Source organism: Homo sapiens, chromosome 4, assembly GCF_000001405.40.
Source record: "Homo sapiens chromosome 4, GRCh38.p14 Primary Assembly".
NCBI classification, from domain to species: Eukaryota; Metazoa; Chordata; class Mammalia; order Primates; family Hominidae; genus Homo; species Homo sapiens.
The window spans coordinates 3,175,231-3,189,107 of NC_000004.12; the positions used below are offsets into that span (position 1 = coordinate 3,175,231).

Here is a 13,877-nt window from a genome sequence, read left to right on the forward strand (position 1 = left end):
CTTATCTTTTTCATGCACCTAGCTGGTGCAGAAGGCCTGGGGCATAGCCAGCCTCAGCAAGTCAGCATCCTTGCCCCAGCTCCCTGGACTCAAGGCTAACCTGGGGTTGGCTGTTAGGGATTTCCAAAGGTTTGTCCCATCCACTTGCCTCCCCTCCAAAATAAGTTTGAATTTAAATTGTGAGATACAATTAAGATTTATTGTTTGGGGAACATTTTTGCAAAATCTAGAGTTAGTTTAAACAGATTATCAATTATTACCATAATTGATCATCTGCAGTTTCAAGCTATCTAACAGGTTCACTTACCTCTTTAAAAAGGAATGGAATTTAGCAGGACAGTAACTGAGACCCGTGCTCCTGGAGTCCATGTGGGAGCTGTGTGGCTCTGCACAAGCATTTGCACGCTTCCCCTCTTGACTGCATTACCTTCCTCCTATAGTTGCTGTGGGCACCAGATTCTGGCTAGTCCTGTCCCTTCATGATGCACATTTTCCTCAAGATTCGTCCCAGTTAAATCACTGCAGATGAAACTGCCTTTTCATCGTCAAAATTTAACTGTCATTTTTGAGCCGTGATCTTGGGCTACTTTCTTATGTGGGGTAGGAATATTTGTGAGTTAGAAATATTACACTTCTCTATTTCCTTCTAGACGTAAATCTGTTAATCCTGTCAGCACTGTTACTCACCTGAAAGGGTCTGTTTCCCTAGGAGAACTGAGGGCACTCGGTCAACACTGATTTTCCACAGTGGGTATTGGGGTGGTATCTGCTTGTTTTTTTTGTTGTTGTTGTTTGTTTTTTTTTGTTTTTTTTTTGAGATGGAGTCTCGCTCTGTCACCCAGGCTGGAGTGCAGGGGTGCGATCTCGGCTCACTGCCAGCTCCGCCTCAGAGGTTCACGCCATTCTCCTGCCTCAGCCTCCCGAGTAGCTGGGACTACAGGCACCCACCACTACGCCAGGCTAATTTTTTGTATTTTTAGTAGAGACGAGGTTTCACTGTGTTAGCCAGGATGGTCTCCATCTCCTGACCTCGTGATCTGCCCGCCTCGGCCTCCCAAAGTGCTGGGATGACAGGCGTGAGCCACCGCGCCCGGCCTGGGGTCTGCTTTTAATGAAGGAGGCATCAAGGGGTGGGCTTTGCGTTGGCCTGATGCTTTCATCTTTCTTTCACAAAACCTGTCCGAAGAAAATCCGTCTAAATGGGCCATTGCTCTCCTCAGGAAATAGTCATTGGGAACTTCTTTTCCTTTCCTTTGACACTAGGAGGCTGACTGGGGAGAAGCCCTGGTCTATGGCTGTGGGCAGCAGGGGCTGAGAGGAGCAGGCTCTCAGGGGGGCACGGGTACCCCAAGGGAAGCCAGAGCCCTGATTTGTTCCATTCTAGTAAGAACAAAGACTGCTCTGGTTTCATGTTTGTTCTGATTGCCTTTCATCAACCGGTCCCCTTTCTCCCAGTTCTTAAGATTCAGTACAGTGACAGTTTTATGAACAAGAATAGAACACTAGAACAGACAAACCATTGAACTCTATGCTGATAAAGATTTATTGAGCTCCTGCTGTATGTTTGCATTCTGCCCAGAGGCTCTGAGAAAACCAGGCCATATGCTCCATGCTTTATCCATGGAAGCTCCCCGTCAGGTTGGGAAAGCTGACAGCTGCAGGGAATACAGTGTGACACAAAACTGGCTCCCATGCAGCCCTTACGTGTCGCCTCTCAGATGGTTGGGGGACGAAGGTCGACTCCTTTGGGTATCTTATTACTAAACCAGTTTCAGGGAATCTGTGCCACCCTATCTGCCATTAACGTGAACAGATGAGTCCCCAAGGTGTAATTTTGGGTATTGTCTGATGTCTCTTGGAATTTATTATTTGTTTTTCCAATGAGATTTCACCTCAGGGTATAGTAAAGTTGTTGAGGGGATTCCTGGATGTGTTCTGCAATTATCTAGGCTGATTTCAGAATAGAGTTATGCTTATAGTCAAATTTATCAGCTGTCAAGAATTTTATTTAAAATTTATGCAGATAAGCAGGAGGAAAAGAAGCCTGGTTTTTACATTTTAATCCTATTATTGATGTGAAATTTTATTTTCCTTCCTGTAGGTGTTTATTGGCTTTGTATTGAAACAGTTTGAATACATTGAAGTGGGCCAGTTCAGGTAATAGCATTTTATTATTTTAGATTTTTTTCTTCTTCTTGTGTACTTACATGTAATTTAGGTTATTAAGTGAATGTTTAAACTACTGTTAGGCATTTTTGCTGTTTTCTTTAAATGGAAATCTGACTAACATACTGTGCATTTTTGCTTCTCTTAAAAATTAATGTATATCTCAAGACTTGTTTGGAAGTAGTTATGTATCTGAAAATTCCATATGTTGTCAGTATTCATTGCACATTTCAAAGCATTTAATTGTGTTGACAGATGGTGGAATGAAATCTTGTGGTGGAGCACTAGTTTTTAAATCTTCTTAGAGAAAGCAGTTTTATATAATGTTGTCTTTAGTAATTATTATGCATTTGTATTCTCTGCAGCTTTTTCTTGCTAGATGTTGAGGTTTTAATACTTCTTGCTAGTCCATTACAGGTTTATAATTATTAAAAGTTAAAATTCTTTTAGTACCTAAAATGCTTAATAAACATTGTAATTAGGAAAATTTAGTGCAGAAGGAAAGTGTTCCCAGATTCCCTGGGGTCTGGAAACATAGTGTTTATTCTAATTACATGACACCTCCACTGTGTTTTGGGGCAAGTTACTGTTTCTCTTTTGAGTTTCAATTTCTTCAAGAGCAAAGAGGCAGAGGAGAGCTAGGAAGATCGTAGCTGCTGTGCCCCTGTGCCGTCGGGTGCCTTCTACCTGCTGCCTCCGAACCTTTACACATGTCCCTGCTCTGCGCGAGGGCACAGATGGGATGCACTGTGGCAGGGGTGGGGTTAGAGTAGATCACGGACACCTGTTAGCTTGATGTGTGCTTGCTGTCAAGGTTGAATCATGAATTATTTTATGTTGCTTATATTGATATGTATCTTAATTTTAAAAGAAAGGTCTAAATGGATGTTTTTGTTTTTAGGGAATCAGAGGCAATCATTCCAAACATCTTTTTCTTCTTGGTATTACTATCTTATGAACGCTATCATTCAAAACAGATCATTGGAATTCCTAAAATCATTCAGCTCTGTGATGGCATCATGGCCAGTGGAAGGAAGGCTGTGACACATGGTAACGGGACACACCTTTCACTGTCGTCTTCGGTGTCGTGATGTGCTTGGCAGTGTTCGTTTTCATATACCCACTTTGAACGTTGTCAGTGGCAGCCATGTGCTTCTCAGGCTCTGCATGTGTGTCTGTGTATGTGAAGGTACTGGTTAGAGACGTTTCAAAAGAGAAGAGAGCATATTCTTTACTCTCAGCAATTTGTAATCTTCTCAGGGAAAAAAATTCAAGAAACAGTAAGATAACCTAAGGTACAGATAGATTCTGAATATAAAGTTCCTGTTCATTCACATGAAACGCTAAAAGTTCTTCACTTGATCTTAGCCAAAAGGCCAAGAAGCGATGCAACACTAAAAATTCTTAAATCGAACTTGCCGTGAATTAAATTTTGATCTCTCATCCAGTGGTATTGGAGATATAGTTTGACTTGGGTTCAGGGCTTTCTGTTTTGCCTGATGATTTTGCTGGAGCTTAAATAAGGAACCCAGGAGATGGCCAGCTGTGCAAGCCCCCAGCCTGTGGAAGGAGCTAGTGTGGTTTTATGAATGAGTTGCAAATCTTTCTTTGAGCTTTTTGAACTGATCTTCCAGCATTGCCCTATTGACCCCTCCCTGACTCCTTTGCTGGAATCTGTAGGCTTTTGAACTTTGACAGGGACACATCCTAAGACCCTTGCAAACTCCCAGATGTGAGAATGGCACTACTACTTAGAGTCTTTTCGACTCAGCGTGTGTGCAGAAGAGCATCAACCGGGCTGTGTTGCGAGGCAGGGCCTTGGCTGACCTCTCAGTGTTTACATAGCTAAGCCAGTTAGTGTTTGCCACGGCCTCACAAGGGCTTCAGATTCACACAGCCAAAGTATAGATTATTAAAGGCATAGGTGTTTGGTTTCCTGGACTTGGAGGGTCTTTGGACAGAAAATCAGTAGGCAACCACACCCAGTACTTTGTGCTGGGAAGCTTGGTCATCTGTGAGAGGGTCAGAGAGTATACCCATGCGTGCATGCCACCGAAGGGTCAGTGAGTATTCCTGTGTGTGCATGTCTCAGGGCCGGAGAGAGTATGTGTCACTGAGAGGTCAGAGTGTTTGTGTGTGTGTCAAAGAGGGTTGCATTGTGCCCTTCACTGAGGGGTCAGAGGGTGCCTCGCGTGTGTGTGTGTGTACGTGTGTGTGTGTCACTGAGGGGTCAGAGTGTGCCTGTGTGTGTGCTTGTGTGTGCGTACATGTCACTGAGGGGTCAGAGTGTGCCTCTGTGTGTGTGCTCATGTGTGTGCATACGTGTCACTGAGGGGTCAGAGTGTGCCTCTGTGTGTGCTCATTTGTGAGCGTATGTGTCACTGAGGGGGTCAGAGTGTGCCTCTGTGTGTGTGCTCATGTGTGAGCGTATGTGTCACTGAGGGGGTCAGAGTGTGCCTCTGTGTGTGTGCTCATGTGTGAGCGTATGTGTCACTGAGGGGTCAGTGTTCCTATGTGCTCATGACATTGAGGGTCAGAGTGTGCCTGTGTGCCAATGAAAGGCATTTCTTATATTTTTTTATATGTGGTCATAGTAGACCAGTTAATTTATTTTGACTCCTGTGTTAGACCAAAATAAGACTTGGGGGAAAGTCCCTTATCTATCTAATGACAGAGTGAGTTTACTTAAAAAAGCATAATAATCCAGTGGCTTTGACTAAATGTATTATGTGGAAGTCTTTATTGTCTTTTCAGATGAATCAAGTAGATTATTCTTGAGACCAGGAATGTTGCTGTTTTGGTTATTTGGAAAGTTTTATCATTTTCAAATTGACTTTTGAATTTGAGTCACCTTTTTTCAGAAGTGGTGTTAAATTATAGGAGCCCTAGGTTTTTTTTCTTTTTTTAGAAGTCATCACAAAATGATCAGTGTTCAGAGGAAGAGCTTTGACCTTCCACATGGTATAATGATTGATAACCTTAATTCATCTCTTACCATAAACCAAGTATGTGTAAGGGTTTTCTTTATTTCTTGAAAGCATTTTGTAGATGTTGAGAGCAGTTTTCCAAATGTAATTTCCATGAAATGCCTGATAAGGGTACCCTTTTGTCCCCACAGCCATACCGGCTCTGCAGCCCATAGTCCACGACCTCTTTGTATTAAGAGGAACAAATAAAGCTGATGCAGGAAAAGAGCTTGAAACCCAAAAAGAGGTGGTGGTGTCAATGTTACTGAGACTCATCCAGTACCATCAGGTAAGAGGAATGTATGTTGGAACTGTCGTGGATACTTTATTGACCCGTGCAGATGGAAGGAAGTGCCATGTGGTAACGCTCACTGTTAACTGTGTTACTTTGAACCAGGTTTGGGCTTTCTGGGGCCTGGGTAGATGCCGGTGCAGGGGGATGGGGAGGGAGGCGGGGGGTGGGGGGGTGTGGTGGAGTTGGGGAGGTGCAGTGGCAGGAGGTGTTGTTGGTGTGTATCCTTTTTTTTTTTTTGAGATGGAGTCTCTCTCCGTCGCCCAGGCTGGAGTGTGGTGGCACGATCTTGGCTCATTGCAAGCTCCACCTCCCGGGTTTAAGCAATTCTCCTGCCTCCACCTCCCGAGTAGCTGGGATTACAGGCATGCACCACCATGCCCAGCAAATTTTTTTTTTTGTATTTTTAGTAGAGATGGGGTTTCACCATGATGGCCAAGCTGTTTCGAACTCCTGACCTCAAGTGATCCTCCTGCCTTGGCCTCCCAAAGTGCTAGGATTACAGGCGTGAGCCACCATGCCCAGCCTGGTGTTTATCTTTAAAGTGGGCACAGCCACAGGAGTTCACCTGACTCCTGGTCTGAGAGTCACGAGATCGTTCAAGATAGTGAGGCCCTCTTTTCCAAAACGAGGACCAAAAATCAATTGACAGTGTTGGTCAAGATGGTAGAAACCTTAAAATGATAGAAATCTCAACTCTGAAATAAAAACTTTATTTGTATATTTATTTACCACTATTTTGACATAGGGCTAAGGTCTTTTTCTTTGAGCTGATTTCTGGTTTTGTTTTCTTAAAGTGGCATAAGAATTCAAAGACATTTTGAGGAAGGCTGAGTGCAGAAATCTCTCTTTTTAAATGACTTCTCCTTTCTTTTAACTTGCACTGTTGTCTAGCCCTCACTTATTTTGTCAATTCTTTTTAGCTGTTTGTCTTTGAATCTTCATAAAGCCATAGCTTTTCTCATAAGAAGCAGCACTTTCTTTGTTCATTCATATTTTAATGAACCCCTGTAGTATTTAATTAAATACTTAATGCCTAATTAAATCACATAATTGCAATGCAAAAGTACATGTATCATAAAGAGGTCTGAAAATGAGCAACTGGCAAGCAGGTGGTGGCAGGCAGAGCTGCTTGGGTGGGTGGGTGTCATGGAGAGGAGTTCATCAGCCACATGTTCAGTGAGCTCTGGATATGTCTGTTTAGAAATGATCACTAATAAACTTGTGCTCAACCATGTATACCTCTGGGAAGCAGGTGCTCTTCAGTAGATTGCCTCTGCAGAGAACACAGAATTGAAGTGAATGTCCACAAAGGCAATGAGCCACCTGCAGAATAGTTTAGTCAAGGCTGTGTTTGAAGTTTGCCAAAGATTAATATACATTTGATTTTCATGTTGTGCCTTTTCTCTGATTGTGAAATATTACAAATTCTATACAAATAACAATGATGGCAAATCCTCCTGAGCAAAGTGTGCACCTTGTATGTGCCCTAGAGGAACTTGTGTTTCGTTCTGATTCCCCTACATTTCTCATGTCATAGAGTGGGGGTTGCATTAGTGTCCCCCTGTCCTCGCTGGGATCACATCTGTTTGGATCCTAGAGTCTTCCAGCTGAACTGGGACAAGTATAACAGACGGACACGTAGGGGTGGAAAGGCGTCTCTTGGCAGCAGACTTTCTAATTGTGCACGCTCTTATAGGTGTTGGAGATGTTCATTCTTGTCCTGCAGCAGTGCCACAAGGAGAATGAAGACAAGTGGAAGCGACTGTCTCGACAGATAGCTGACATCATCCTCCCAATGTTAGCCAAACAGCAGGTTTGTCCCCGCAGCCTTGGCTTGTTGTTGCATAGTGATGGTAGCTTAAGGTCCTTGTGAAAGGTGGGTGGCTGGAATCAGCTCTTCCTTCAGTCCTAATCTGTGCCTTGATAGCAGTTCTCCGTGCTAGTCATGGGACAGCTGACTTCATTTCTTCTCACAATGCCATCTCAGGTTGGTATTGCCCACCTACTTTACAGGGGGGATCCCACAGCTCCGAGAGGTTATGGAGGTGATCAGGCAGCACACAGCTTTAGAGTGCTGGGGTGAGGGCGGGCCAAGGCTAACTCTAAAGCCCGAACCCTTACCTCCTACACTGCCTCCTGCATTCTGGTCAACCCAGTGTTTTATTTGGTGGTTAGATTTTTGTTTTTGTTACCTTACTGCTTGTAATTTAGCAGTTTTCCTTTCCTTTCCCTTCCTTTCCTTTCCGACAGGGTCTCACTCTGTCACCCAGGCTAGAGTGCAGTCGTGTAATCTCACTGCAACAACCTCTGCCTCCCAGGTTCAACCAATTCTCCCACCTCAGCCTCCTGAGTAGCAAGGACCACAGGTGTGCACCACTACGCCTGGCTAGTTTTTTGTATTTTTAGTAGAGATGAGGTCTCGCTGTGTTGCCCAGGCTGGTTTTAAACTCCTGGGCGCAAGTGATCCACCAACCTTGGCCTGCCAAAGTGCTGGCATTACAGGTGTGAGCCACCTCGCCTGGCCTATTCATCACTAATCAGAATTTCTATGATCAAATGACATGAATCATTGTTTCCACAACTGCAGTGGAAGGAAATGGCCTGGCAGTGCCAGTTTCAGAAGCAGCCTGCCCCCAGTCAGGCACAGGCCACTGTGCCCCCAGTGTAGCAGCACCTCTGTAGCTCACAGAGAAGGGTGGTGGGGACCTCCTTGAGGCAGCTCTGCCAGAAAATCTCATGAGCTGCCTGGCACAGCTTGAGGTTGCCTTTTAAGTGGACTCAGCAAATACATGTTTGTTCATCTTGATTATACACAATAAACAACTACTCTGTATAGTACGAGTAGTCCGTGGTTTTTGGCATTTGATTTAAACTTAGAGGCATGTGATATTGATGTTACTGCCTTCATGACTGCACCCCCATTCTGATTTCATAATGGAATGTTATCTTGAGACCAGTTAGACAACAGGACAGGGATCTTGGCTTCTGGTGAGATTGACAGCAGTTTTAGTGTGGTCAGGGTCTCCCTGCCTACAGATGGTTTTAGAATGGTGCCCTGGAAGCTTTATCCCATTCTTTTCTGTGCGTAATCTGAGTAGAGTGGAGATCGAAGGCCTGAATACATAGTAAATACCTGACTTAATATCTGCCGCAATGGAAATTGTGTGATACAACATTTATGAAACGCTTAGTGCAGCACCTGCCAGGTAGCTCACCACAGGTGCATGTTGCATTCAGAAGTAGTGCTAGATACTATCCTGTTACTGGCAGTGCATACATCAGTGATCAAAGCAGATTAAAGAAAGACCCCCTGCCTTCTTGGAGTGAAGATTTTGTTGGGATGCGGGTAAGGGGACAGACAATAGAAAAGCAAGTGAGTGAAGTCTATACCATGGCGGCTGATCAGGAACACCGTACAGAAGAATCCAGGAGGGAAGAGAGTTAGGTGGTGTCTGCGGTGGGAGTGGCATTGTTCAGCTGGTGATGAGAAGAAGCTTTGGTGATCTGGTGACATTTGAGTGAATTTGCAGAAAGGAAAGATACAAGCCTAGGAGATACCTGGGGAAGGAACATTCCAGGCAGAGCAAATAGCAGTGCAAAGGCCCTGGCGGGGGGCGGACATGCTGTTAGGGTACAAGCAATGAGGGTGGAGGAGTGGGGCAGCCATGGGGAGGGAAGGGAGTGAGGCCTGGTGGGGTGAGGCCAGTGTGGAGGAGCCTTGAGAGGGTTTGCGCTGATGTGGTGTAGGTTTTAGCAGGATCATTCTTATTCCTGAGTTGAGAATAGCCTTGAGGGGGAGGTGAGGGCAGAGCAGGGCCACCCATGTGAGACCCGGCACTGGAGTGGAATGGCCCAAGTCAGCATCCCTTGGCAGCATGAAAGCAAAACCAGCAAGGTTTGCTGGTGGCTTAGATGTGGCATGTGAGAGAGAGCAGGGCTTTGGGGGTGATTTCAGGGTGAGGACAGGGTGGCTGTGGACAAGGTAGGGCAGACATTGGGGGCAGCAGGAGGTCAGAGCCTGTCTGGATGTAGCAGTTGAGACCCCATAGGTGCCTAATGAGGTGAGGCCAGCATCAGGTGTATGAGCCTGGAGTTGTCGAGAGACTGTGGGGCAGGGGGTCAGCATCTGAGATGTCCACTCACAGTGGACCCAGACTGGCTGGAGAGGAGGAGGAGCTTGAATACCGAGCCTGCTGAGTCCCAGCTCCAAGGTCAGGTAGGTGAGGGGAGCCAGTGCTGGGGCAGGGGGAGTAGGCAGGTGTGGGGTTCCTAAAGCCAAGATTTTTTTTAAGGCATTTTGTGCAGGAGGGCGACATCTGCTGTCAGCACCTTGGGAACTTGGCCCAGGTTTGGCAGCACCGAGGGCACTGATGAGTGCTTTTGGAGGAGCAAAGGGAGCCAAACCCTAATGGGAATGTGTTCCTGAAAGGACAGGAGAGAGACTTGGGAAAAGGTTTTACTTGAAGAGGGAACGGAGAAATAGGGCAGTAGCCAGAGGAGGAGAGGAGTCGGCAATGGGTTAAGTTGGCAGAAATGAAGGCCTGTTTACGCACTGAGGGCAGAAGCAACAGGGAGGATCAGTTCATGACACAGGAGACACAAATCGCCGTTGTGGTGTTCACAGACATGGGTTAGGATTGGCTGCATGGATGACAGAGCACTGTGGGTTCTCCCAGAGTTGCTGGGGAGGAGGCAGAGTTGGTGAGCACAGGCGAGGGTCCAGGATGCAGGAATCCTGGAGCTCAAGTCAGTTGTTCCCTTGTTGTAAGATGTGGCCAGTGTTGTGAGCTTCACATCTGTGCCTTGAAAAACACCACATCTGTTTGCAGAGTTGTTTACTATGTATACACACTCAGTAGAAACAAAAATTGGAAACAGTCAGTGCCCACCATCAATAAGTAATGGTTGAACACACTGTGGTATAAGCTTAGACTATTTTAGCTTGGGCTATTTTGCATGATTAAAAATGTTCTGGCCAGGTGTGGTGGCTCATGCCTGTAATCCCAGCACTTTGGGAGGCCAAGGCAGGCAGATTGCTTGAGCTCAGGAGTTTGAGACCAGCCTGGGCAACATGGTGAAACCCTGTCTCTACTAGAAATACAAAAAGTAGCTGGGTGTGGTGGTGTGCGCCTGTAGTCCTGGCTAACTCAGGAGGCTGAGGTGGGAGGATCACTTGAGCCCATTCGTGCGCCACTGCACTCCTGGGGCACAGAGTGAGACTCTGTTAGAAAGAGAGAGAGAGAAAGAAGAGAGAGGGAGGGAGGAAGGAAGGAAGGAAATAAATGGAAGAAATGGAAGGGAGGAAGGGGAGGGAGGAAGGAAGAAAGGAAGTTCAGCCAGTTGCCTTGGGAGTTCTCCATTGCACTGGGTTAAGTGAGAAGAGCAGAGACGTTTATGATTTTTCAAAACAACTAAAACAAAACCTCTGTGGGTGAGGGGGCAAGGATATGGCTATAGGAACATGGGGCAGATTAAGAAAGGGATATACACACACCACTTAGCATTTGTTACAACTGTTGTGGGAGGGATGGAGTGCAGAAAAAGAAAAAAAAAAGTGCACACCATCCCATGTATGTGTATACAAAGGGACGCTTGGAAGACTGGTCCCCAAAATGTTGGTAATGATTGTGTCAGGGTGCTGCAGTGCTAGTTGATTTTTTTTCACACTTTTGTATATTTGAGTCTTTTACAGAAAGCATTTATTATTTATGTAATAAAAATCTAAATGACAAGATTTCTGTTATGGGAAAAATGTAGCTATACAGTGTTGTTGTAAAAATGTTTGCTTGGTTCACCACTGAACTTAAAATGCTTTTAAATGAGGGAAGGTGACGATGAGATGATTATGATGATTTGCCCTTGAGTTACATAGCTGGTGTACAGGAAGCTGTCGTTTCTTTTGGCTTACGTAGAAATGTTTGTGGTGTCTAATTCCACAGATGCACATTGACTCTCATGAAGCCCTTGGAGTGTTAAATACATTATTTGAGATTTTGGCCCCTTCCTCCCTCCGTCCGGTAGACATGCTTTTACGGAGTATGTTCGTCACTCCAAACACAATGGTGAGTCTCTCGCCTGGCTCAGCAGATGAATCTGGACGGCTTGTTCAGGCTCTGATTACTGGGACCACCCCCAGAATGTCTGAGTCAGTCAGTTTGGGTAGGGCTTCTTGAGAGTTTGCTTTTTTTTTTTTTTTTTTTTTTGGTGTGGGGGTGGTGCGGAACAGAGTCTCACTCTGTCGCCCAGGCTGGAGTACAGTGTCATGATCTCGGCTCACTGCAAGCTCTGCCTTCCAGCTTCACACCATTCTCCTGCCTCAGCCTCCCGAGTTGCTGGGACTACAAGCGCCCACCACCACGCCCGGCTAATTTTTTTGTATTTTTAGTAGAGATGGGGTTTCACCGTGTTAGCCAGGATGGTCTTGATCTCCTGACCTCGTGACCCGCCCATCTCAGCCTCCCAAAGTGCTGGGATTACAGGCGTGAGCCACCGCACCCGGCCTTTTTATTTTTTTTGGAGATGGAGCCTTGCTCTGTCACCCAGGCTGGAGTACAGTGGCGCTACCTCGACTCACTGCAACCTCCGCCTCCCGGGTTCAAGCAATTTTCCTGCCTCAGCCTCCCGAGTAGCTGGGACTACAGGTGCGTGCCACTGTGCCCGGCTAATTTTTTGTATTTTTAGTAGAGACGGGGTTTCACTGTGTTAGCCAGGATGGTCGCGATCTCCTGACCTTGTGATCCGCCCGCCTCGGCCTCCCAAAGTGTTGGGATTACAGGTGGCTCTCGCACCAAGCCAAGAGTTTGCATTTTTAGCAAATTCCCAGGTGAAACTAATGCCTGCTTTTCTGGGAGCACACTTTGGGACTCAGTGATAGAGAGGTTTATTGGTAGGATAGTAAAATAGGAGTTATTTTCTTTCACAAAATTGGCAATTGGGGGAAATTTAATCTTCCTTTTTTCTTCAGCTGTGACTTATGTATTATGTTTATTTTAGGCGTCCGTGAGCACTGTTCAACTGTGGATATCGGGAATTCTGGCCATTTTGAGGGTTCTGATTTCCCAGTCAACTGAAGATATTGTTCTTTCTCGTATTCAGGAGCTCTCCTTCTCTCCGTATTTAATCTCCTGTACAGTAATTAATAGGTTAAGAGATGGGGACAGTACTTCAACGCTAGAAGAACACAGTGAAGGGAAACAAATAAAGAATTTGCCAGAAGAAACATTTTCAAGGTATGCTTTCTATCTGAGCCTATAACTAACCCATGCCTTTTGGGAAGTCACGTGATGTTTCACAGTCAGTAAGTCTGGAATAATACCTGGTCTTGCTTCACTTCTGAGTTGGGTAAAGAAGTCTGTATCAGTGTAATTTTCTAATCCGTCCTGCATTATCTATGGCTCTTGGTTCATACCTGTCTTGAAGTTCTGTCATGTTCTGTCTCTTGTCCTCAGTAGAGATGCTACAGCAGTGGCTCGCCTCAGGCAGGGCAGGGCAGTGGGGTGGCTGTCCTGGGGGCAGGCAGTAGGGGCACGCTGACGTCAGGGAAGTTGAAACCCAAGAGAAGCCAGTAAAAGTGAGTCTCAGATTGTCACCATGTGCTGGCAGTTTTACACGCTGTCAGTAATAAAAGTCTTCTCCCTGCAGGGCAGCCTGCCTCCAATAAATACGTGTAGTATCAAATCCTGTCTTCCCTCATAAATTGTTTGGAAGCTCCCCAAGGACAGTGATGAGGCACTCGTAAGTGCTTGCTGCCTAGATGGGTCCCTCTCCACCTTTGCTAGATTCTGAGCATTCACTGAGTTAGAGCTGCTTCTGCAAATGTGCTGCTTCTGCTAAGTGGCTGTGACTTCATGCAGCCTTCACTTGGTTTGTCATCAGTGGAGATGCCCTGTGTTGTCGAAGGAGATAAGCCCAGTAAGCCTGCTGGGCACCTTTTGGTTTGCAGGTTCAGCAGGCAGCCCATGGCTTTCCCTGTGTCGCATTGAAGCAGCTGGCTAAAATTGATGATACATTAAATTCCTGTGACAGATGATCAGCTTGTATTTGTGTAATGGTGTACAGTTCACAAAGCTTAAAAAAATGCTACCTGCCATTTCATCCTCAGTGAGGAAGGTGATACACAGAGAGACCAAGTGACTGTGTCCACGGCGACGGCGCTCTGCATTTCACTTTAGCGGTTAATGTACTCTACCTATATTTTTACTTTATATTTACCATATATCTTTTCATGTATACTTGGCGTAAGTGCTTTATAGTAGTCACCTAATTCACTGTCATCTTTTTTGTTTCTTGGAAGGTTTCTATTACAACTGGTTGGTATTCTTTTAGAAGACATTGTTACAAAACAGCTGAAGGTGGAAATGAGTGAGCAGCAACATACTTTCTATTGCCAGGAACTAGGCACACTGCTAATGTGTCTGATCCACATCTTCAAGTCTGGTAGGTGAATCACA

At 45.6% G+C, this 13,877-nt stretch overlaps 1 protein-coding gene across 2 annotated transcripts in view; it reads left to right on the forward strand.

Moving 5' to 3' along the window:
• Nucleotides 1–13,877, forward strand: part of HTT (huntingtin) — a 169,280-nt gene that overhangs the window by 100,550 nt on the left and 54,853 nt on the right. For both annotated transcript variants that reach the window (NM_002111.8, NM_001388492.1), the window contains 7 exon segments: nucleotides 2,102–2,157; nucleotides 3,068–3,216; nucleotides 5,285–5,421; nucleotides 7,124–7,240; nucleotides 11,367–11,489; nucleotides 12,421–12,656; nucleotides 13,721–13,863. In NM_002111.8, the coding sequence (NP_002102.4) occupies nucleotides 2,102–2,157; nucleotides 3,068–3,216; nucleotides 5,285–5,421; nucleotides 7,124–7,240; nucleotides 11,367–11,489; nucleotides 12,421–12,656; nucleotides 13,721–13,863 (961 nt within the window).